Raw genomic sequence first — 20,833 nt, forward strand, 5'->3', positions numbered from 1 at the left:
GTCGCTGGGATGGCTGGGTGAACTGGAAGTGGAATCTCAGGACCTGAGTCTGGGGCTTCAAGTTCCTCCACAGGGTCAGATGCGAACTGTTCCCAGGGTCAGATGTGAACCACGGAGTGGGTGCTTGGAAAAGCCTCAGGGCGTGCGTGGCTGCATCCGTTTCCCGTGGCCACCGTCATGAAGACCACAGACTGGGTGGCTGAAGGTAACAGAAATGTACTGTCTCGCAGTTCTGGAGGCCAGAAGCCCGAAACCAAGGTGGTGAGTGCTTGTGGATAGATCCCCTCCCAAGGCGGGCTCCCTCTGGAGGCCCTGAGGGCGTTGGTCCCTCCGCTGAGTGCTTGTGGATAGATACCCTCCCAAGGCGGGCTCCCTCTGGAGGCCCTGAGGGCGTTGGTCCCTCCGCTGTGTCCTTGCTGTGTCCTTGGTGATCCAGGCCCATGGAAGCGCGTCACCGACCCCTGCCCCTGCTTCACACGGCCCCCTCTCTCTGTGGGTCTCTGTGTCCTGAGCGTCTCTTCTTAAAAGGATGCCTGTCATCAGATTTAGGGCCTGCTCTAATCCAGGATGACCTCACCTCAAGGTCCTTAATTAATCACATCCGTAAAGACCTCATTCCCGAGTAAGATCACATTCTGAAGATCCCAGTGGCCCTACATTTTGGGGGATGATGTTCATCCCGTAACTCCTGGTGATGGTGGTGTCCTCACTGAATGACTGCCCCACATTTCAGGGCATCCTGTGGGCTGCCTTTTCCTCAGAGAGGGGCCTGCGGGTTCCACATGCTGACCTCCCTGTGGGCCTGGGAGGAGGCAGGAGGCCACAGCCAGGGCAGCCTGGGATGCTGTTGAGGAAGAGGAGGTGGGCTCTGCCCCCTCACAGTCAAGGGATCTTAGGGAAGGGAGACTTACTTGCATTCTGAGTGTGTCTCCCAGCCTTCAATGTGTTGATATTTCGATGTTGTGTAATAAACACAGGCATTGGTGAACCATGGATACTTCTCTATGTTGGGCAACCATGGCAGTTCCCCCACGTGGGCAGAGGAACGAATTCCCTGATGCACCCTACACCTTTCCAGCATGAAGAACCCATCCACCAGGTCTGTTTTCCAGGAAGATTCTCATCTGATTTGGTAGACCTGGCGCTGTCCTTTGCCAGCCAGCCTTGTTCGTGGTGAGCCATTCTGTGGAATCGTCGCCCATCCCTCGTGAACTCTTTGGGTCACTGGAATAGTTGCGGGGAAATTTTAGAAGATTTTATGATGAAAATATGCCCGAACACCTGCCTTACTCTCTCCAATGTAGGCCCAACTGTGGTTTCTACCATCAGCTTTCTTTGTAGGCCTGGGCGGTGTGGAAGCTGAAATGTGTGTAGAAATGAGTCCCAGCTCATCGGCTCATCCACGTGTTCGTTGAGGGAAAACCACGCTGCCAGTTAGAATTTACAGTTATAACTCTGCAGCCCATGAGCTGTGGAAGGATCCCGTGACCCCTTCTTATTTGCATCCCCCCCTCCAGCCATGTATTTTGTTTGGGGTAAGACGTGTGTGGACTCGGGTGGAGCAGAGCTGGAGTCTCGCTACTCCCAAGAGCAGCAGCAGCAGAAACGCCCCAAACTGTTGCTGTCACAGAGAGCGAGCGTCCCTGTGGTGTTTTCCAGGGAGCCGGGGCCCAGGTGAGTGGCACGTTGTGCTACAGAATCAGCGAGCTCCACACTGCTTCCCTTCCCTCTCCCTCCCCGGTGAGGACTTTCTCGGAGGTTGCACTGAGCCATTTCCGTGGAGGGCTTTCCTCCTCCTCTGTAACTTTTCAGACACCAGGGAGCACGAGACGTCGCTGGGAGGAGCTGCTCTGTGTGGACGGGGCCCCTCCGAGCACCCTGCCCACTCACTCTTATAAAGACCCATGTCGTCAGCACTGTGACGCTCCCTAGGAAGTTGCCCATTTATGGCTACTAGAGCAAATGATATCATCACAATAGGTGGCTCCTGTCTAAATAGGGATCATTTGTGAAATGAGATTATAGACATTTATCTGAAAAAAAAAAACAGGAGATAGAGGCACCTGCTTTCTGTAATTGATATCCTGGAGGAGAGCCGTGCATGGTAATTAAAGTGTCCATCTCCATGGCTAACTCTGTTACAAGGAAGGAGCTTGCCTCTCCTGCTCTGCACCAAGCAGCCCCCACATCCACATGGAGTCGACTCCAGATCCATGTTTTCTATTATGCTTGACTATATGGGCCATGCATCGCAGTCCTGTGCCTGCCACGCTGCTGCAGTGCCTGGTTTGCAGAGCTCCGTGGCAGCCTGGTCCGGGCTGTGGCTGACTGGAGCCTCGGAGGCACACTCGGTCGTCTTGGCCTGCTTCTCTCGCAAGGATGTGGAAGCTTCCCTGAGTGTAGGTCTCCCCGTCCACCCAGACGCCTCCTGCGCTCGGCGTTTGGATGCTGCAGACGGAGTGGCAGGAGGCTCTCCTCGGTAAGTCAAGGATGACTCATTTCTGACTTTCTGTACCTGGAACGTCCACTTCCCCTGGTGCGGTGGCATCAGGTAGACAGTAGCCAGCTGGTAGCACTCAACTAGTTAATCCCAATAGCCGCTTTCCCTCGATACTTTGCAGCATGTTTTTCCCTTGCCCTCCCTCCCTCCTGGCCATAGGTCTTGCCTTTCTTATAAGTAAAGCACTCATCTCTTGATAGTCGTTGTGATAGCAGCTGGGGGTAGTTGGGGGGAGACTAGTATGACTGTAATCCAGGGAGCATCTTAATTGCCAGGAGGCTTTGGGGGAAAAGCTCTTGCACAGCTGTCCAGAACTACGGTGCTGTAATTCTAAGGAGGCAAGTTCAGTCTTCAGCTATAACCATTTTCCCAATAATCACCGAGTACTGGAGCAATTTGTAACGCAGGAGCTGTTCCAGCTTATTCTCCATTTGCTATAGCAAAGATGCAGCAGCCGGGCTGCTGGTTTCAGTACTCCTTTGGGAATGAGTAAATCCAGGGACCTGCAGCTATTAAGACCTGTGTTTTTCTATGCAAGCAATGGAGTGAGAAGCCTGTGGAAACGGCTTCCTTTGTAATGCTGAGTGCAGTGAAAGATTGGGTGCCTCTTATCAGCTGCATTAAATAGGATAAAAAGAAAAGAGGGAAGATGTTTGACTGATACGCCGCAAAGTGCTGCCATATATTTGTCATTAAGACCAACAACCTCTTCAAAAGCAGAGATTCCAAGATTTAGCTGACCAAGTGGACTGTCCTCTGTTCTGTCTGAAGAGACAGTGTTTTAAGTGTGATGGGAATTGCTGAGATTTTAGAGGAAGCATGCTTCTGAGTGCACACATTTTGACAAGGGTCTCTGCGATCCCCGAGGTCTCGGGGTTGTACCGTCCACAAAGGGCCTTAGCAGTGGGGAACTTTGTAACAAGTGACGGGCACCTGTGCAATCCACAAGACGATGGTCCAGTGTGTTTTGGGAGGGTTTTTCTTTTCGTGCTTCTTGCCTTAGTATACTGGCTTTTTTTTTTTTTTTTTGCTTTTGCTTTACCTCGTGCAAAAATATGCACCTCTTTAAATGGTATTGTCTAGCCTCTTTCTGATGAAATAGAATGTCAGTAAAAGGATGTATTAGCTTAGGCATCTAGGTAATTGCTAGCTTTAAAAGTTCCTGTTATCAATGACCAAAATATCTTACATTAAAATGTTATACTCTGTACAGGACTGAGCATGGCCAATAGGAAGATGTTATTGGTTTGTGCATATTTAGGTGGGTATCGACTATTTCATTCATAATTTTGTTCCCAGAGCTCGGTGCCTCTCCACACGGAGGTTTAGTGTTAAAATGGTGTCTGTTGTGGCCTTTAATTTGCTCATGAAGCAGAGCAAGTCAGTGGGACTCTCTCCAGCTTGGTGAATCACACTTGCTGTTTAGCAACAAGTGCTGGCCTCCGCAGCCAGGGTCGTCTGCCATGCATGCCATTCATACATTTATACGCAGGATGACATGGTTCTCCAGAAGAGCAGTTAGGAGATGCCAGCCTTTAACGGGGTTTGCAGCCCAGGGCAGAGAGTTTCACTGGGAACAACTGCAGCTATGGGAAAGCTTTAGGTCATGGGGACAATCCAATGGCTGGTGGGGCGGTGTGGGACTATTTTACTAAGTTTAATTCTTGCTCCCAATTTGCAACAATTACTCAACAGTAAGTACCTGCAAGTAATGAATATTGCTTTTTTAAGCCAAGTCAACTTATTTATGGTTAAAACAAAACTGGATAACCAGAAAATAAGTTGTGTGTATATACAGTGTTCAGATTGGAAAAATATAGCTGCAAGAGGTACACACAATTCCTCAAATATGTCAGGCAACCTGTTTCATACAACCAAACCAGGGTGCTGTTTGGGGATGTTGTATATTTGATGGATATATAACAAATGTGATTTCACCAGCATTAATAACTTCAAACCAAATGCATTAATAACTTCAAACCAGCATTAATGACATCCACTCAAATGTTATTTAACTGGCATTGATAACCTCAAAACCACCTGCAGTTGTTGTTTTCTAAGGCAATATCTGTTTTACTTAAACACTATTTAATTTGATGGCTTTCTTTTTTCTTCAACAAGGAGGTCTTTAGTAAATTTGACATTCTCTAAAATATTCGCTGTCAACACGGGCTGAATGTGACCTCTCCACGTAGTCAACACATAAAAATTAAGCTCTGCCAATTATATATAACATTTTAAGTGAGTATTTCCTCTCTCCTTTTATCCTGCTGCATGCGGCAGAGGGACAAATGCTTATTAGGAAGACAAGCGTGGTCCGTTTCACCCCCCTCCACCCTGACATGCACACACCTGGCCCCTGCACACACCTAATGTGGAGAATCCGTTTAAGGAACAGTGAAGGGTGGGTGCATGGAAGAGCATTGCGGTATCATGAGAGGTGTAGAAAGGTGGTTTGAAAGGCATGCTGTGCATTCACAGTTTGTTGCTGTGTGAGTCTGGAGATACAGCCAGACACCTCCACACAGTGGCTGATTCCCACCCACCAAACAGCGTGCCCAGGGGATTTCTGAGAAAATATGTCTCCACGCACCAGGGCGCCTGCCTTTATTCACTCTCTCAGTTTAAAATACAGAGTTATTCACCCCTGAGCTTCTGTGCACACAACCCAGTGTTCGCTGAAGCTGTGTCTAAACCTCTGACTCAGTAAGGTCTTTTTAAAGATACAGCCATTGCCAGGAATTTGATTATTAGGTCATGATTTTATTCAAGATTATTTCAAGATAACAACTGGCAGTAAAATTCGCATTTTTCATATGACTAGCATCAGGAAAAAAGTCATCACATTTTCATTTAGAGAACAGTTATTGTGAAATGACTTTCCTGACCACACATCTTTGTTAAAACAGCACTGTATTCAGTAGAGACTGAAAGCACATATTCATGCTGGAGTCGACAGTTTCTGTCTCTTATCACACAACACGGAGCGTTTTGCTTGTAACTCTGTGGTTGGGGAGTACAACATCCTCTAAACCAGTGACCTCTGTAAAATGTGGCTCTGTGCCTTAAGAATGACATTGTTAATTATGAAATGTTTAAAAGATGCCCGTGTGCTTCCTTTCTTATGGGATCATCAGAGACTTTTATGCTCGTCTTCCTTCCAATTCGATACTCTCCTGAGATTCATCTGTGCTGAACGTCGGCACTTCTGGTTATCCCATTTAAGTACATCGTTTGCTCCTTGTGGGGGCAGTTCAGAGACAGAATCCTGACTGTCGAAGCCCCCAAATAGTTCTGTAGGATGGTCTGTCTGTAGGGATGGCCTGGGTCCCAGGAATTCCGGGAAATCTTTCCTAGCTATTTGCTTTCGAGTTGTCATTCTCCCGCGTGGTCTGTGGGGAGAATGCTCTGGGCCTGACTTGAGTGTCAGGAGCCCTCAGAGGAGACACTGCCGAGCTGGACACTGTCCAGCCTGAGCGTGGCCACGTCGTGGTGGTGTCCAGGCTGTGCAGTTGCTGGGGCTAGGTCCGCTCGCTGGCTTGTGGGGCAGGTCTGAGCGAGGACAGTTCCCCACAACGGTCAGGTCTGAGTGAGGGCAGCTCCCCACCACGGTCAGGTCTGAGCGAGGACAGCTCCCCACCACAGTCAGGTATGAGCGAGGACAGTTCCCCACCACGGTCAGGTCTGAGTGAGGACAGTTCTCCACCATGGTCAGGTCTGAGCGAGGGCAGCTCCCCACCACGGTCAGGTCTGAGCGAGGACAGCTCCCCACCACGGTCAGGTCTGAGCGAGGACAGCTCCCCACCATGGGCAGGTCTGAGCGAGGGCAGCTCCTCACCACGGTCAGGTCTGAGTGAGGACAGTTCCCCACCAGGATCAGGTCTGAGTGAGGACAGTTCCCCACCACGGTCAGGTCTGAGTGAGGGCAGCTCCCCACCTTGGGCAGGTCTGGGTGAGGACATGAGGACAGAGCCCCACCACGGTCAGGTCTGAGTGAGGACAGTTCCCCACCACGGTCAGGTCTGAGTGAGGGCAGTTCCCTACCACGGTCAGGTCTGAGTGAGGGCAGCTCCCCACCATGGTCAGGTCTGAGTGAGGGCAGCTCCCCACCACGGTCAGGTCTGAGTGAGGACAGTTCCCCACCATGGGCAGGTCTGAGTGAGGACAGTTCCCCACCATGGTCAAGTCTGAGTGAGGAGGGCAGCTCCACCACGACTGGCCTGTCTTTGTCCTTGGCCTCCACACGCGGCACCTCCGTCCCTGCTGTCTGGATGGCAAAGCTGTGCTTGTAGGGCAGGTCTTCATGGTGAAAAAGACCCTGATGGGACGTGGGAGAGCTGCGGCCCAGTATAGTCTCAGTCCCAATTTCTTCTTAAGTCACCGTCAGAGCCCACGATACCCATTGCCTCGGACCTCAGGGGCTTCCTGGTCGCAGCAGGCGGCCCAGTGGCTTCTGCCGCATCCCCAGCCCAAGCTGCCTGGGCCCCCCTGATGCCCGACTCTGACTGGTGGTGTTTGGTTTGCTGCAGAGAGGGGTTGGTCTCCTTCCCTCCTTCAGGTTCCGTCTGATCCCAGGTGGGTGGGTGGCTCTGACCCAGCCTCTCCGCACAGCCCCCTCTGTGATCTTCCCATTCTTCTGTGACCAGGGCTGTGGCCACGTTGTCCATGTGCCCTGTACCTCGTGCTGCTGGCCTGGATCCAAGTCCCATCTGACCCCCAGTTCCTGGGCTTCCTCCCTGTTCTTCAAGGAGAGACTGAGAAGGCTGAAGGGTATGCTCTGGTCAGGAGGTTCTACCCTCCTAGCGCTTTTGCTTTGGGTTTTCTGACCTGTTGGTGTTCCCGCTGTGGTGCCTACCCAGCAGGGGCCCTGCCTGTAGGAGCATCACCTGGTGCCTGGGAAGCTGCAGGCTCCTGAGTGTACTTGGGAGGTCAGAGGCTTCCTGGGAGGGGGCCACGCTGAGGAAGCCCGTGTGGGAAGACTGTCTCAGCCGTGCCGTCCTCCACACGGGGCTATGCCCGGCCCACGCACGCCTGGGCAACCATTTCCATGCCCATTTTCCAGATGGGAAAACCAAGACTCAGGTGGTTGAGTGACGTGTGTGTGTGTGTGTGTGTGTGTGTGTGTGTGTGTGTGTGTGACTTAATATTTTTAGCACAGTTTTAGGTACCCAGCAAAATTAAGTGGAAAGTGCAGACAGTTCCCATATGGCCCCTGCCCCACCCACGCCCTCCCTCGTGACCCAGTCCCCTCCAGAGCTGTGCATTTAGTGCAGCTGATGGACCAACACGACACGTCATCCTCACCCGGAGTCCGTGGTTCACCTCGGCTCACTCTTGGCATTGTCACTGCACAGGTTTGGGCAGGTGTTTGATGACGACACACCCCCCCATTACAGCAGCCCACAGAGGAGTTTCTCTGTCCTAAAAATCCCCTCTGCTCCGCCCACTCCTCCCTCCCTCCTCATGAACCCTTGGCAAACACAGGACCATTGACTATCTCTATAGTTTTGCCTTTTCCAGAACATCATTTATTTGATGGGAACCACAGTGCACAGCCTTTTCAAATGGGCTTCGTTCACTTTGTAATGTGCATTTACGGTGCCTTCGTGTCTTTTCCTGGCTTAGCTGCTTATTTCTTTTTAGCAGTGAGTGCTATTCCACTGTCTGAATGCTCATAGTTTATCTGTTCCCTTATGAGGGGCATCTCAGTTGCTTCTGAGTTTAGGGAATGATGAATGAAGCTGCCATAAACATCTGTGTGCAGGCTTTCGTGTGGATGTAAGTTTCCAGCTCATCTGGGTAAATATGAAGGCATGCAATTGTTGGATTGTATGACAAGCATGTGCTTAGTTTTGTAAGAAACCACCAAAATGTCTTCCAACGCAGCTGCGTTGTTCACCCCCCACAGTGGATAAGAGTTCCTGTTCATCCACGTCCTCAGCGGCGCTTGAGGCTGTCTGTGCTGGGTTTTGGCCTTGCTCAGTGGTGTGCAGGGAGGTCTGAGGCTTCCCCGGTGGGGACTAAGGCTGTCCCGGTGGCTAGCAGTGGCTCTATCTGTGCATCCTGTGCTGTTATTTTGCTGCTATGTGAGGAGGAGGGAAAGGATGGACGCACAGGAGCGGGGAGATGAGGGAACAAGGACGGAGGGAGGGAAGTGCTGCACAGCAGGGGCTCAGCGCATGTGGGACAGAGGGAGGGAAGGGCTGCACAGCAGGGGCTCAGCGCATGTGGGTCCGGGATATGCCTGGGGTCATGGGCCCCTCCCCAAGTGCTTTCCTGTGAGTGTTCCCAGGGAGACCTCGTGGGGGCTTTTTCTCCAGCCCATCCTCTCCCTGAGCTTGTTTATCAAGAAGATGCTTCTAGAGTGAGGATTTTTGCATAAAAAAGGGAATCTGTGAACCTGGGCAGCCCCGGGGGCTGGGCTCAGGGCAGGTTCTGGCCTGGCCTTTGACCTCTGTGGGACCCAGTCCTTGAAAGACTCACAGGAATGTGCCTAATGGAAACCCAGTCTGGGTAACAAGAACAAACATTAAAAATCCCCGGCTGAAGTTGGCGGGTAGCACTGCCCTGCACTAGACACACATTTATTGCAGCTGACGCGGCAGCAGCATTCTTTGTTGCTGGAAGAGTGATACGGACTCTGGGCAAATATTTGTGGAGAACGAATTGGGCCCCAAATTGTGTTTGCTAAGGCAGTCTTGTTTAAACTGAAAAGAAGGGGCTGGTGGGCAGGGAAGTGGGAGAGGTGGTGGGGGCTGCCAGCTGGGCCGGACAGAGCTGGGGCCCCTGGACAGGTCGCGAGGAGGCCGGGTCGGACAGACCTGCGGCCCGTGGACAGGTCGCGAGGACACCAGGTCTCACTGGAGGACGGGCCGGCTTCTCCCATGCCCTGGGTCCTCCGCACACTCCTGTCCTCTCAGCCCTTAAGGTCAACTGTAACATTTTTAGAATGCTACAAAAAGAAGGCTCAGCAACCGGGGACTTGCATTTTTGCTTTTTTGAGATAACGGTTTCTGGGGAGAACAGTGGGACCTGCACATCCGAGAGTCCGAGCTTTACTGTCCCTTCACCGTGGAAATTATCATGGCTCCCACCTCAGATGTCTTGTCTTTTGCTTAAAAATAGCGTCATTAGAGTATAATATATACTCCTATAAGCACCATACTTAATATGATATTATAATGCTGTACCTACGATAAAAGTTATTTGTGCTCGCCAAATGCTGAGTGCTGGCCTGAGGGCTTGGAATTCAACATCATGTTTGGATTCCACAACAAGATGAGGTGCAGCCACAATGCGTGTCTTGTGGAGGAGGATGCTGTGAGGGCCTGTGGCTGCCTCACGTCTGCGGAAGAGGCCAGAAGCCAAGCTAGAGAGGCCTCAGTTTCCCCTCCCGTCCTCCTTTTGCCAGGCTGAACCCCCTCCCCAAAGCTGCGTCAGAGGACAGAGGGAAGGGATTTTAGATCAGAGTACATTAAACACACATTTAGCTTTGGAAATGTTTTGTTCTTGGACTTAAAAGTATGTGTTTCTGGCACTGTGCATATTCAAACATTCTTTTCTCCAAATCACTACGCTACTTCCTGAAAACCTGTACTTGAGGAAAACCTGAGAAGGTTTTGGGGCATCTTGTGCACCTCTTTGCTCTCTGCTCTTTGACTTCAGCTGATTTGTAGACTCGGCGAGTCCTTTCTTGCCTCCTTTCCTGAGTTCTGTGTTGTCTTAAATGGGAGAAGGAGATCTTTTTTCATGGCGTGGGTTCAGGGCAGCTGCGAGAAGCCACAGCAGGGACTTAGGCAGAGAAGAGGCCCTGTGTCCCGGGTGCCTGGTGAGCAGCGGCTGACATGGGCTCGTCCTGCCATGGCCCAATAAATCTCGTGGTTCCTGAGGGAGGTGTGTGGATTTCACAAACAGTTTTAGAAATGCTCTTGCTTCTGCCATTTATAACATCAACATACAACCCCAAAATGTGTGGTGAAAACACGTGAAAGTCAAATCCGTGTCCTTAGGCTCTGAAATATCTCACAGGTGAGGGGCGATTTCGGCACTGTCCAATGTCTACTCATGTTCCAAACAGAAAGACAGTTTGAAAGGTGCAGCTTTCACATACATACGCGTATGTGAAAAGTGTGAGTGTGTCTGTTCAGACACACATACAGACACAAACACTCACTCCCTCCTTACAGAAAAGACCATGGGGAAAGTTAGCCTTCAAAACTGTTTTCCCTCAGCTAGTATTTGGAATGAATGAATGATTGTGCACAGGAAGAAGGACGCGCTGGCTTTTCCGTGTAGAGAGGCCGTCTGCGTATTCTGAGCTGGGCTGTGGTTGTTCCCACTCGCCCCTCGCCCTCACTCTCCAGACCCCACAATTGCCGACAAGCACTGAGCACCGTTGGCTCCAGGATCAGGAGGCAGAGGGGAAGCCCCTGGAAGACTCAGCCTGTGTTCCGATGGCTGCTTTTCCAAATCAGAAGGGGCATTTTAGCAAACAGTGTGCTGTGGATGAGATTCAGCGCCGGCACCTCACTGAGCAGAATGAGGGTCCTGTGTTTCGGGGGCGACCCGGGCCTCTCTCTCCTGGCCTCCTCCCACTGGCTGCTCCTCCCACGGATTTGCAGCTGACTGCAGCCCAGCTGCCGAGCGGAAGCTGGGGAGGAGAGGATGGTGAGTGGTGCTTTCCAGTTTTAGCTTTTGTGTGATGATAAAAACTGTACTTCTAGAGTAACCCAGCATTAAGTTAGACTACACTTGTCACCTTTTTCTTGTGGGTGAGAGGAATAACCACCACTTTCCACAATGCCTGAAATAACCACTTCGGCCGCCTCCACGGTGCTTGACTTTCAAGGGTGGCTTCCTGGATGACTCCCCTCCCTCCTCCAGCACCACCCTGGATGATGTGCAGTCTCTCCTGGGTGGGGCTGTGCTAGCCTAGGCTGGGGCAGCTGTCCTCAGCTACCAGTCAGGAGAACACTTGCTCCTGGGCGTCCCGGTGCCAGACAGGATCCAGATTTCCCTTCTTATGATGTGCCTTTCACAAAACAGCGCTAGCCTGATTCTTTCCATTTTCTATTTTCTGTGTCTAATTTTTTCCATATCCATTTTCCACCTGGTTCATTTAGTGATACCGATTTTTAAGCCTTATTTTTTTAAGGATTTGTGAATATTGTACAACTTGTTAGGATAACAGTGGAATACTGGCTCCAAGGATGTGTGCAATTTTGATTTATTTTCCTAATATGTGTGTGTATAGATAAATGTCAGTGAAGTGAATATGTGTGTGTGTCAATAAAAGAAATATACTTAATCACCCAGTTATTTAGTCAAACATTTAAAAAGTGACATGTCCTTCTGACCTGGCCCTGCAAGCTGCAGGAGGCTCCCTGGCCTGTGAGTTTAGGGAACTCGTGTCAGTCTGGTTAAGTGGGTGGTTTGGGTGCCGTGCTGGCTGTACGTGGTTTCTCGTCAGTGTGCTGGACATTGGCCGGCCAGCGCTGCCTGGGCCTTGAAGGCAGAAATGGCTGCAGACACCACTCGGATCAGGGAGTGGATGATCTTTGGCTCCGTCCTGCCATGAAGTCGTGCTTAGAGTTAGTTGTGCCACCAACCACCGTCAAGGCACACAGTGGAGGGGGTGCGGGTTTGATGCAGTTACAGAAAAGTTGGTGACATCGAGAGACATTCCCCCAGGGACTGTGAGGGGACCGGGAGCCTCCTGATTGATGGTGTTCAGATGCAGGGCACTCTCTCCAGCTTTCCACTTCCATCGGGGATGGTAGACATTGTAATAACATTTTGGAAAGAAAAAAGCTTCCTATTCATTAATTCTTCATCCATATAATTCATAAATCTTGGTTCTCACATGTGGTCATCCAATGAAAATTTGATGAGTTTGATTTGTAGAAATCTTTACTGGGTGTCCTCCAATGTAAGAATGTTCTTGGAGACTTGAAATGCAGAGTCCTCATTCACGTTATCTTGGAGAACTCGACGCGTGTTTGATTTCACCGCAGCGTTTCTCCCCGCGGTAGTGCAGGCACCTGGCAGGGAGGTGCGGCCTGGCTTGTGGCTGTTCCCGAGAGCATTGGGTGTGTGTTCAGTGAAGGTGCTGGTGGGTTTGACCTTGCTATCCTTTCAAAACAGATCAAGCAAGTCTGTTCACCATCATGCTCTCCTGGAGAAGATGTGCTTCTTATTAAAAATACATCAGCTGCACACAGTGCTTACACTGGCAGGTTCTGTTTAGGGTGGAGAATGACACTTTCTGTTTAGCCAGCGTTTGTTAGGCACGTACCTGGGGTGGAAGAAGAGGCCGTTGTGGGGCTCCACTGCCGGGAAGGTTTCGGGGAGGCTGAGTGTGCCCGGGGACCCTGTGCCTCTGGGATTTCTCCCTGCTGGCTGAGACGGAATCTGCTGTTACTGTATTAATTTAATTAGGGAGTTCCTATGTGACACATTAGGATTTTTAGCTGTATCCGACTAATTATCACTCCCCATTTGTACCTCTCATTTGTACCTCTGATCTTATGTTGTCACAATCATTATAGCACCGTGCTTTACCCAAGAGAATAAAAGCCCACTGTTGAAGTCAGTCTCGTAGCTGTTATTTTGAGTTGAGGCACGATCTGGCTTCCAGGTCTGTCTTCCACCTTCTAAAATCATTTATTCAATAGAAATGACACCAGCAAAACATTTGAGATCATCTTTCTCTTCTGCTATTGGAACATATCAATTTATATATTCTTCCAAAATCAGCTCTAAAGAATAAAATTGTAAAAAAACTGGGTATAAAACAAATAGCCAAATCATTTGTTTTACTAAATTACAGGGAGCTATAAAGTTTTGTAGTTAATACGTTAAGAAATAGTCACTCTGAAATTTTTTTTAATGATCATGGGGTTCTATGATAGAACTATTTTTGTATTAGCCTTGGAAATACAGACATGGATATGTAACTCAGAAAAAATATACTTGCTCCTGAGCTCAGAATTTAAAAGAACAAAACGGTTGATTCAGGATAAATAGCATGCGTTCTCTTACTTTTCCAAAGATGGTTTTTGTTTTCTTAGAAGCACTGTGTCATAGTTCCTTGAGTGAAATGGTGGAACGTGGCACAGACATGTGGAAGGGGATGCAAAGCCCTGCACAGAGGAGCTGTGTGTGCATTTTGTAGATGGCCTGGAACTTGAATTTGGCCAGTGCTTTCCACAAACATTTCCCATGCACGGCTCCCATGCAGAAAGTTAGTAATCCTGAGAACTGCCGTTCCTTCCCAAACGCTTTATCTTTTCACACGTGGATATTTTTATCTTCTGCTATTCTGTGGCAGAGTCCAGGGGAGTAAGTTCTGATGTTTTTTGTACATTTACCTTCAGACTGAGACTGAACTCACCCGGCTGCGTATTCAGGATTCACTGTAACAGAAGGGTTTGCAGCAGAGTGAGGCTGAACTCACCCAGGTACATATTCAGGAGTCACTGTAACAGAAGGGTTTGCAGCAGACTGAAGCTGAACTCACCCAGGTACATATTCAGGATTCACTGTCACAGAAGGGTTTGCAGCAGACTGAGGCTGAACTCACCCAGGTACATATTCAGGATTCACTGTCACAGAAGGGTTTGCAGCAGACTGAGGCTGAACTCACCCAGGTACATATTCAGGAGTCACTGTAACAGAAGGGTTTGCAGCAGACTGAAGCTGAACTCACCCAGGTACATATTCAGGATTCACTGTAACAGAAGGGTTTGCAGCAGACTGAGGCTGAACTCACCCAGGTACATATTCAGGATTCACTGTCACAGAAGGGTTTGCAGCAGACTGAGGCTGAACTCACCCAGGTACATATTCAGGATTCACTGTCACAGAAGGGTTTGCAGCACAGAATTTCTCTTCAGCCTTTCAGTTCACATCATGCTCAGTCTCTGCCTACAGTGTGTCCAGCTAACATCAGAATACAGAAACCCTTTCATGTGGGACAGAGGGAAGTGAGTGAATGCCGGGGACAGAGAGAGCTCCCACCTTCACAGCCGAGGCTGCCCTGGCTCAGGGGCTTCTCCACTCCCCTCTTTTTGCTTCTTACCAAGAGCAAGCCTAGATCAGTAACAGACTTGCAAGGTGAAGATGAGGCGTTTGATCCGCTTGTGAATTAGGTGGAAAATGGACCTCGGTATTAAACTTTGGGGAAAGGAAGAGAGCATTTCCCACTCCTCGTCTTTCCAGTGACCAGGTCGTCAAGGCGTGGGTGATTTTTTAGAAGTCATCTGGTGTATCGTTTAAGATTATATAGACTTGATGCAGGTCCAAGAAAATTCAGTACTGCCCAACAAAGGGATCCGCAGCCTCCAAGAGGTCACTGGGTCATCACCAGCAGGGTCCTGCATGGGGTCAACCCAGTGAAACTCTCCTTGGTCACCTTGCAGTTGGCAGGGGTGCAGCACATCTCACCAACAAACAGTGCAGCAGGGAGTGGTGACCATGTCTCACCAACAAACAGTGCAGCCAGGGGTGGAGTGGGGGATGGCGACTACATCTCACAACAGTGCAGCGGGGGGTGGGGACCACGGTGCCCACTGCACACACCTGCTGTGCCAGGTGAGCCCTCTGGCGATGTCCTCAGACTCAATGGAGTTCACCACTTGGGGCTGAGACAAACAGCCCCTCCTTTTCGGATGAGTGGGAGTTGCTGCAAAGCTCTAGGGGAGGTTCTGCCCAGATGACCACTCCGGCTGCCTTTTCGAGTTAGGACCCTCTTGTTGAGGAGCGTGAGGGAAGGAAAAGTTGAGCTGAAGGATCCCTAGGAGAGCAGGCGATGCGGATTGAGGCGTGCATTGTGGGGTGCTGGAATCCGCAGGAGGAGAACCGCGGCTGGGTGTTCTGGAAGCGGCTGGTCAGGCTCCCAGAGCCCCTTTGTCTCCTGCAATGGGCTTGTTTCTGTGGGTCTCTGGGGTGCCTGTGTTCCAGTCACATTTTTCCCTCTACTGTCCTCTTCTGTGATGGCATTTTCATCCCCTGCAGGGGAGATGGGACAGAAGTTTGCTTAAGTACCAAAAGCTCTGCACACAAGTGAAATCTGAGGACAAGTTAGACATACTGCGCACTGGTTGAGGTCTTTGTATGTGACGTCCTTGATGACCACTTGAACTCTCCCTTCTCCTTCAGGTCCTTTGTGGAAGCAGGAGGGCCCGTCAGTGAGAGCAAGGTTGCATCTGACCCCAGGGCATGTTGTATGTCAGGGCTGAGTGATGAGCAGATGGTTCTTTGTAAAGATAGCTCAGAGGCCGGGTGTCCCAACTCAGGCCTGTAATCCCAGCACCTTGGGAGGCCAAGGTAGGAGGATTGCTGGAGCCCAGGAGTTCAAGACCAGCCTGGGCAACGGAGGGAGACCTCATCTCAAAAAAAATAAAAACAAAAAAAAAGAAAAAAGACCCGAAAAATCACAGGATGGTCTGGGCCTGAGTTCTTAATAGTTATTCTATGGGGTTTTTCCAGAGAGAGCAATTGGAAGATGCATTTGAGGTGTGTCTCTCAAAGAGAAAGAGGAATTCATACTACTAGCAAAAGGTAGGAGGATTTTTTCACAACAACGTTATCTAGAAAATCCACAAGTGATTTAAAAGCACAGGCTGGCTGGGCCTGCTCCAGGCAGCACAAGCTTGCCTGTCCCATGAAGGTGAACCTGACGTTCTCCGCCTCTCCCCTCACCCCTGTGCCACCCGCCTTCCTGCCTGTGAAGGAATGAGCCTATACCGCGTGCTGGTGGTTGGGAATGGCATGAGCCCCCGCCGGCTGTCCGCAGCTCACACGGCACTGACACAGACACTGAGCTGCAAGTCCCAGCTCACTACGTGGCAGTGAGTCGCAGCTCCCCGTCTCCGAGCCTCAGTTTCCATGCAGGAGACGTACGGTATTTTGCGGAAAGTCGGATGGGTTAGAGGGCAGGATGCTTTCGAAGTTCTTGTGGAACAGGAGGCAGATCTGCCGCTCATGGCCCACACCTGGGTTGGTCTCGGAAGATGGCCTCTGGGCTGTGATGCTCCGGCCAGGGCCACGGCTCAGCCCCTCTCTTGAGCCGCCTTCCGTTTTCACTTGTGAATGACGTTAGAAACTTTGCGGTCTGTACGTCTCCTTCCCAGCAGTTGGCAGAGTTTTAGGAATGAAGCATCGTCTTCCTCATCGTTAAAGGCCATTCCCCTTAGTGTGTTAGTGTCCTGGGCTGCCATAACACAGGGCCTCACACCAGAGATCCCCTTCTTCATGGATCTGGAGGCTCGAAGTTCAAGACCAAGAAGGTGGAGGAGGAGTCTGTCCCAGGCCCCCCCCCAAGACCAAGAGGGGGAGGAGGAGTCTGTCCTGGGCCCCCCCAATACCAAGAGGGGGAGGAGGAGTCTGTCCCGGCCCCCCCCAAGACCAAGAGGAGGAGGAGGAGTCTGTCCCGGGCCCCCCAAGACCAAGAGGGGGAGGAGGAGTCTGTCCCGGGCCCCCCCAAGACCAAGAGGGTGGAGGAGGAGTCTGTCCCGGGCCCCCCCAAGACCAAGAGGGTGGAGGAGTCTGTCCCGGGCTCCCCCACACTCCTGATTTGCTGTCAATGTTTGGGGTTCCGTGGCCTGATAGTCCCGATCCCAGCCTTCACCTTCATGCAGTGTTCTCCATGTGTGTCTGTCCTCCGGTTTCTGCTTCTGATGAGGACACCAGTCATGTGGGGGCAGGATCCTCCACTCCAGCATGACCTCACCTTACCTCGTCACCTCTGTAGCAGCCCCTGTTTCTAAACGCAACCATGTTGGGAGGTCCTGGGCTAGGGCTTCAGCACATGCCCCTGCAGGGCACAGTTCTACCCACACCTGTTAGTAAACACTCAGCTCGTCACACGGCAGTCCCATCATATCCGTGGTTCTCAGGAGCAGAGGGGCGGTGGTGATGTCAGGGCCTCAGCTTCTAAAGTGAGTCACTTTCCTATTCTTGCTGCCACTGAGATGTTGGACTTTTAGGTGAACATCACTGGACCCCAATTCCATTCTGGGCTCCACTGTCTACCAGAGGTACTTCATAATATCAACTGGTGTGCTAACAAGAAGGTGAGATGGTGTATGCTCGGGATTGTTTAAACCACCAATGGCCATACAACATTTGCTGGGAAATCTGCCAAAATAACATCTCTAAGTTTTATACTAAGAATGTTCTTAAGAAGCCCTTGAGCTATGTGTTTTGCTCCATTGTTTCTGTAGAGAGATTAGCCCACGCAGTGGTTACTGAAAAATCTTGGCATAGTTTATCAAACTCCCCTTTTCCACAAGAAGATGCTAGCTTCCTGTGTCCTTTTTCATAGCTCTTCTGGGTGACACAGCGGAGCTCACAGCTGTCTCAGCACACGCCCGTGTGCGTGCACGAGTTCTCCAGCGGCCGCCGCACAGCCCTGATTCTCTCCACACCACTGTCTAGTGCATAACTCCAGGGGTGTCATCCACGCCATGTCCTCTGTGGCTGTTGCCAGCTCTACAATATAAATACTTGCTTCCAGGTCAAGCACAGAGGAACTTAAATCCCACCGGGACCCGGTGAGGGTTACCTTCTGTCCCTGGTTTTCCTAAATTTCGAGATGGGAGGGATGGTGAGTCCCTTCCCTTCCAGCTCCCTCAACACGCTGGCCCTCCAGAGACGCTCTCCTGGTTTAGAACATTTATTCATCTAGAACATTATTAACAATGGAAAGAACAGTGGCTTGCACTGTTTTTTAAATTAATAGAATTTATTTTTAAGAGCAGGTTTAGGTTCACAGAAGCATTGAGCTGAAATTACAGAGTTCCCACCTACTCTTTTTGCCTGTATTCCATTTCTCTGCTGTTAGCGTCTCACATGAGGTGGCACATTGGTTACCGTTGAGGAACCAGTATTGATCCATGATTATTGATGGAAGCCCACAGCTTATATCACATCCAGCCTTGGTGTTGCACATTCTGGGGATTTTTGGCACATGTGGAATGGCGTATGCCCACCCTGGCAGCATCACACAGAGGAGTTTTGCTGCCCTAAAAACCCTCTGTTCTCTGCCTGTTCCTCCCTCCCTCTCCTCTAACCCCTAGCAAACACTGATCTTTTACTGTCTTCATAGTTTTTTCTTTTCCAGAATGTCATAGAGTTGGAAATAGACAGTATGTAACCTTTTCAGATGGGCTTTTTTCACTTAGTGATATGCATTTAATTTTCTTCCTTGTCTTTTTGTGGCATTATAACTCATTTCTTTTTAGCCCTGAATAACATTCCATTGTCTGAATGTACCATAGTTTATTCATTCACCTAATGAAGGACATCGCAGTTGCTTCCAAGTTTTGTCAGCTAGAAATAAAGCTACTGTAAACACTTGTGTGCAGGTTTTTGTATGGAGATGTTTTCAACTCATCCAGGTAAATAGCAAGGAGTACAGTTACTGGATTGTCTAGTAGAAGTATGTTTAGTTTTATAAGAAACTGCCAAATGGTTCTCCAATTTGGCTGCACCATTTTGTACTCCCACCAGCAGGGAGGAGAGTTCCTGTTGCTCCATGTCCTCACCAGCGTTTCATGCTGTCAGGGTCTAGCTTGTGGTCATCTGAGCAGGTGTGTGATGGTGTCTTCTTGATTTATTTTGCATTTCTTTGGTGAGAAGTGGTGTGGAGTGTCTTTTCAGATGTTTGTTGCCCTCTACATATGTTCCTTGGTGAGGTGTCTCTTCAGATCTTTGTGTATTTTTTAATTGGATTGTTTTTCTTATTGTTGGGTTTTAAGAGTTATTCATATATTTTGAATATCCACCTTTTATAAGATTTGTGTTTTACAAATATTTTCTCTCAGTCTATGCCTTGTCTCAGTCTATTTTAATAGGAGTGTGTGTGCTGTTTTAAAATGTATTAGTGCCTTAAGTTCTTCTGCATTATTTTGTTTAAACTATTTTTCAAAAAAAATTAAAGTCAGATTAGCAGCCTTTATTGGTTGCTTACTGAGAAACAGATGGTATCTTAAGAGCTCATGTGGCCCTATAAGCTCCCTTATTCTATGTTTTGTGGTTTCGTCATACAGCTATGCTCCCCAACAAAGGAATAAGTTCTAATGGTCATGTGTTTATCTTAGGAACATTTATGGACTGTGAACGATGAATAGGAACTCTCCGAGGTGCTGGAGACACAGAGACAATTAAAATATGATTCATAGATTGGACGAGGTTATAATCCAGTTGGGAGGACAGGCATGGACATAAATAGCAGCAATCCAAGGCCGATGAGAAGTGTCTGCAAGATGAGCCCAGAGCAATGGGGCAGAGGAGAGAAAATTAGCTCAATTTGGGTCTGAAACGTCAGTGAGGATTTCACAGGAGAGCAGCTTTTGATTGGACGTGGCAGGCAGCTGGGGCCGCACGGCCCTGTGAGGGCACAGGCTGGTTAAGTGGCAGTGTAACAGTGCTGGAATGCACTCCTCTCTAACGTGGGTCCTGGTGACTGTTGTTATTCTGCTTCTAGAGATGAGGAAGTGGAGGCTTCTGAAAGAGGAGTGGGTTAAGGGCATGGGTTTTGTCCTCAAGCGTATGATGGGGGGCCTGGCACGGGCCTGCTTCCCCAGCCTCCCAGCCATGTGGCCGTGCTGCAGGTTCGCTGGGGGGTTGCAGTGGCCACTGAGCAGGTGCGGAGCTCCACATTAGAACTACTTGCATTTTTATTTTCCACAAAACACTGAGCTTGCTGTCAGGCACTCAGCAGGCACTTGGTAGAGTCTCCAGGGTGTGATGCGGGCGCCACCCCCGCCCCGCCGCCCGCGTGCTGCTGTGCTCTCCTCCGGGGGGCCGGCCTTTCCTCAAGTGCCTTGTTAATGCTCCTGCAGCTGCCGTCTCTTTAGTGCCCTCACAGAGGTGTGCGTTACGAAGGGATGCTCCTCACACTTAGAAAATCGCCATCAGCCTGTGCACTCTGTGCTCACACGTCTGAAGTGGGGCGGGAAAGCTGCAGGGATGCAGAGCTCCTAGTTTTGTGTAAGGGACTCATCAGGCGGAATAGGGACCTGGCCTCTGTGCTCGCACGTCTGAAGTGGGGTGGGAAAGCTGCAGGGACACAGAGCTCCTAGTTTTGAGTAAGGGACTCATCAGGCGGAACAGGGACCTGGGCCCTGCGCTCTGTCCTTCGTGCTGAACGCAGTAGTTACTCGGTAAAGGGCTGTTGAACAGGTGCTTGTTCAGCTCATGCATCTGGATCCTAGTGGCTGTCTCTGTTCCAGTTGTGAGTCCTGTGCACTAATATATTTAAATCCTTAAGTGTTGAAATTATACTAGGTCAGATCCACTCACTCAGCGCTCTGAGGAGTTGTCCAGGCT

The 20,833-nt window shown here is 50.0% G+C and overlaps 1 protein-coding gene across 2 annotated transcripts in view, besides 5 other annotated features; it reads left to right on the forward strand.

Moving 5' to 3' along the window:
- Positions 1-20,833, forward strand: part of DLGAP2 (DLG associated protein 2) — a 970,849-nt gene that overhangs the window by 322,382 nt on the left and 627,634 nt on the right. The window lies entirely within an intron of this gene.
- Positions 1,523-2,379: an enhancer, noted in NCBI's record as "H3K4me1 hESC enhancer chr8:1011532-1012388 (GRCh37/hg19 assembly coordinates)". NCBI's record gives its function as "activates a minimal SCP1, AML or CMV promoter by ChIP-STARR-seq in primed H9 embryonic stem cells {active_cell/tissue: H9 hESC(primed)}" and the evidence as "EXISTENCE:reporter gene assay evidence [ECO:0000049][PMID:30033119]".
- Positions 6,825-7,349: an enhancer, noted in NCBI's record as "H3K4me1 hESC enhancer chr8:1016834-1017358 (GRCh37/hg19 assembly coordinates)". NCBI's record gives its function as "activates a minimal SCP1, AML or CMV promoter by ChIP-STARR-seq in naive H9 embryonic stem cells {active_cell/tissue: H9 hESC(naive)}" and the evidence as "EXISTENCE:reporter gene assay evidence [ECO:0000049][PMID:30033119]".
- Positions 10,411-10,938: an enhancer, noted in NCBI's record as "H3K4me1 hESC enhancer chr8:1020420-1020947 (GRCh37/hg19 assembly coordinates)". NCBI's record gives its function as "activates a minimal SCP1, AML or CMV promoter by ChIP-STARR-seq in naive H9 embryonic stem cells {active_cell/tissue: H9 hESC(naive)}" and the evidence as "EXISTENCE:reporter gene assay evidence [ECO:0000049][PMID:30033119]".
- Positions 10,939-11,465: an enhancer, noted in NCBI's record as "H3K4me1 hESC enhancer chr8:1020948-1021474 (GRCh37/hg19 assembly coordinates)". NCBI's record gives its function as "activates a minimal SCP1, AML or CMV promoter by ChIP-STARR-seq in naive H9 embryonic stem cells {active_cell/tissue: H9 hESC(naive)}" and the evidence as "EXISTENCE:reporter gene assay evidence [ECO:0000049][PMID:30033119]".
- Positions 16,278-16,778: an enhancer, noted in NCBI's record as "H3K4me1 hESC enhancer chr8:1026287-1026787 (GRCh37/hg19 assembly coordinates)". NCBI's record gives its function as "activates a minimal SCP1, AML or CMV promoter by ChIP-STARR-seq in naive H9 embryonic stem cells {active_cell/tissue: H9 hESC(naive)}" and the evidence as "EXISTENCE:reporter gene assay evidence [ECO:0000049][PMID:30033119]".

Source organism: Homo sapiens, chromosome 8 (genome assembly GCF_000001405.40).
Source record: "Homo sapiens chromosome 8, GRCh38.p14 Primary Assembly".
NCBI classification, from domain to species: domain Eukaryota; kingdom Metazoa; phylum Chordata; class Mammalia; order Primates; family Hominidae; genus Homo; species Homo sapiens.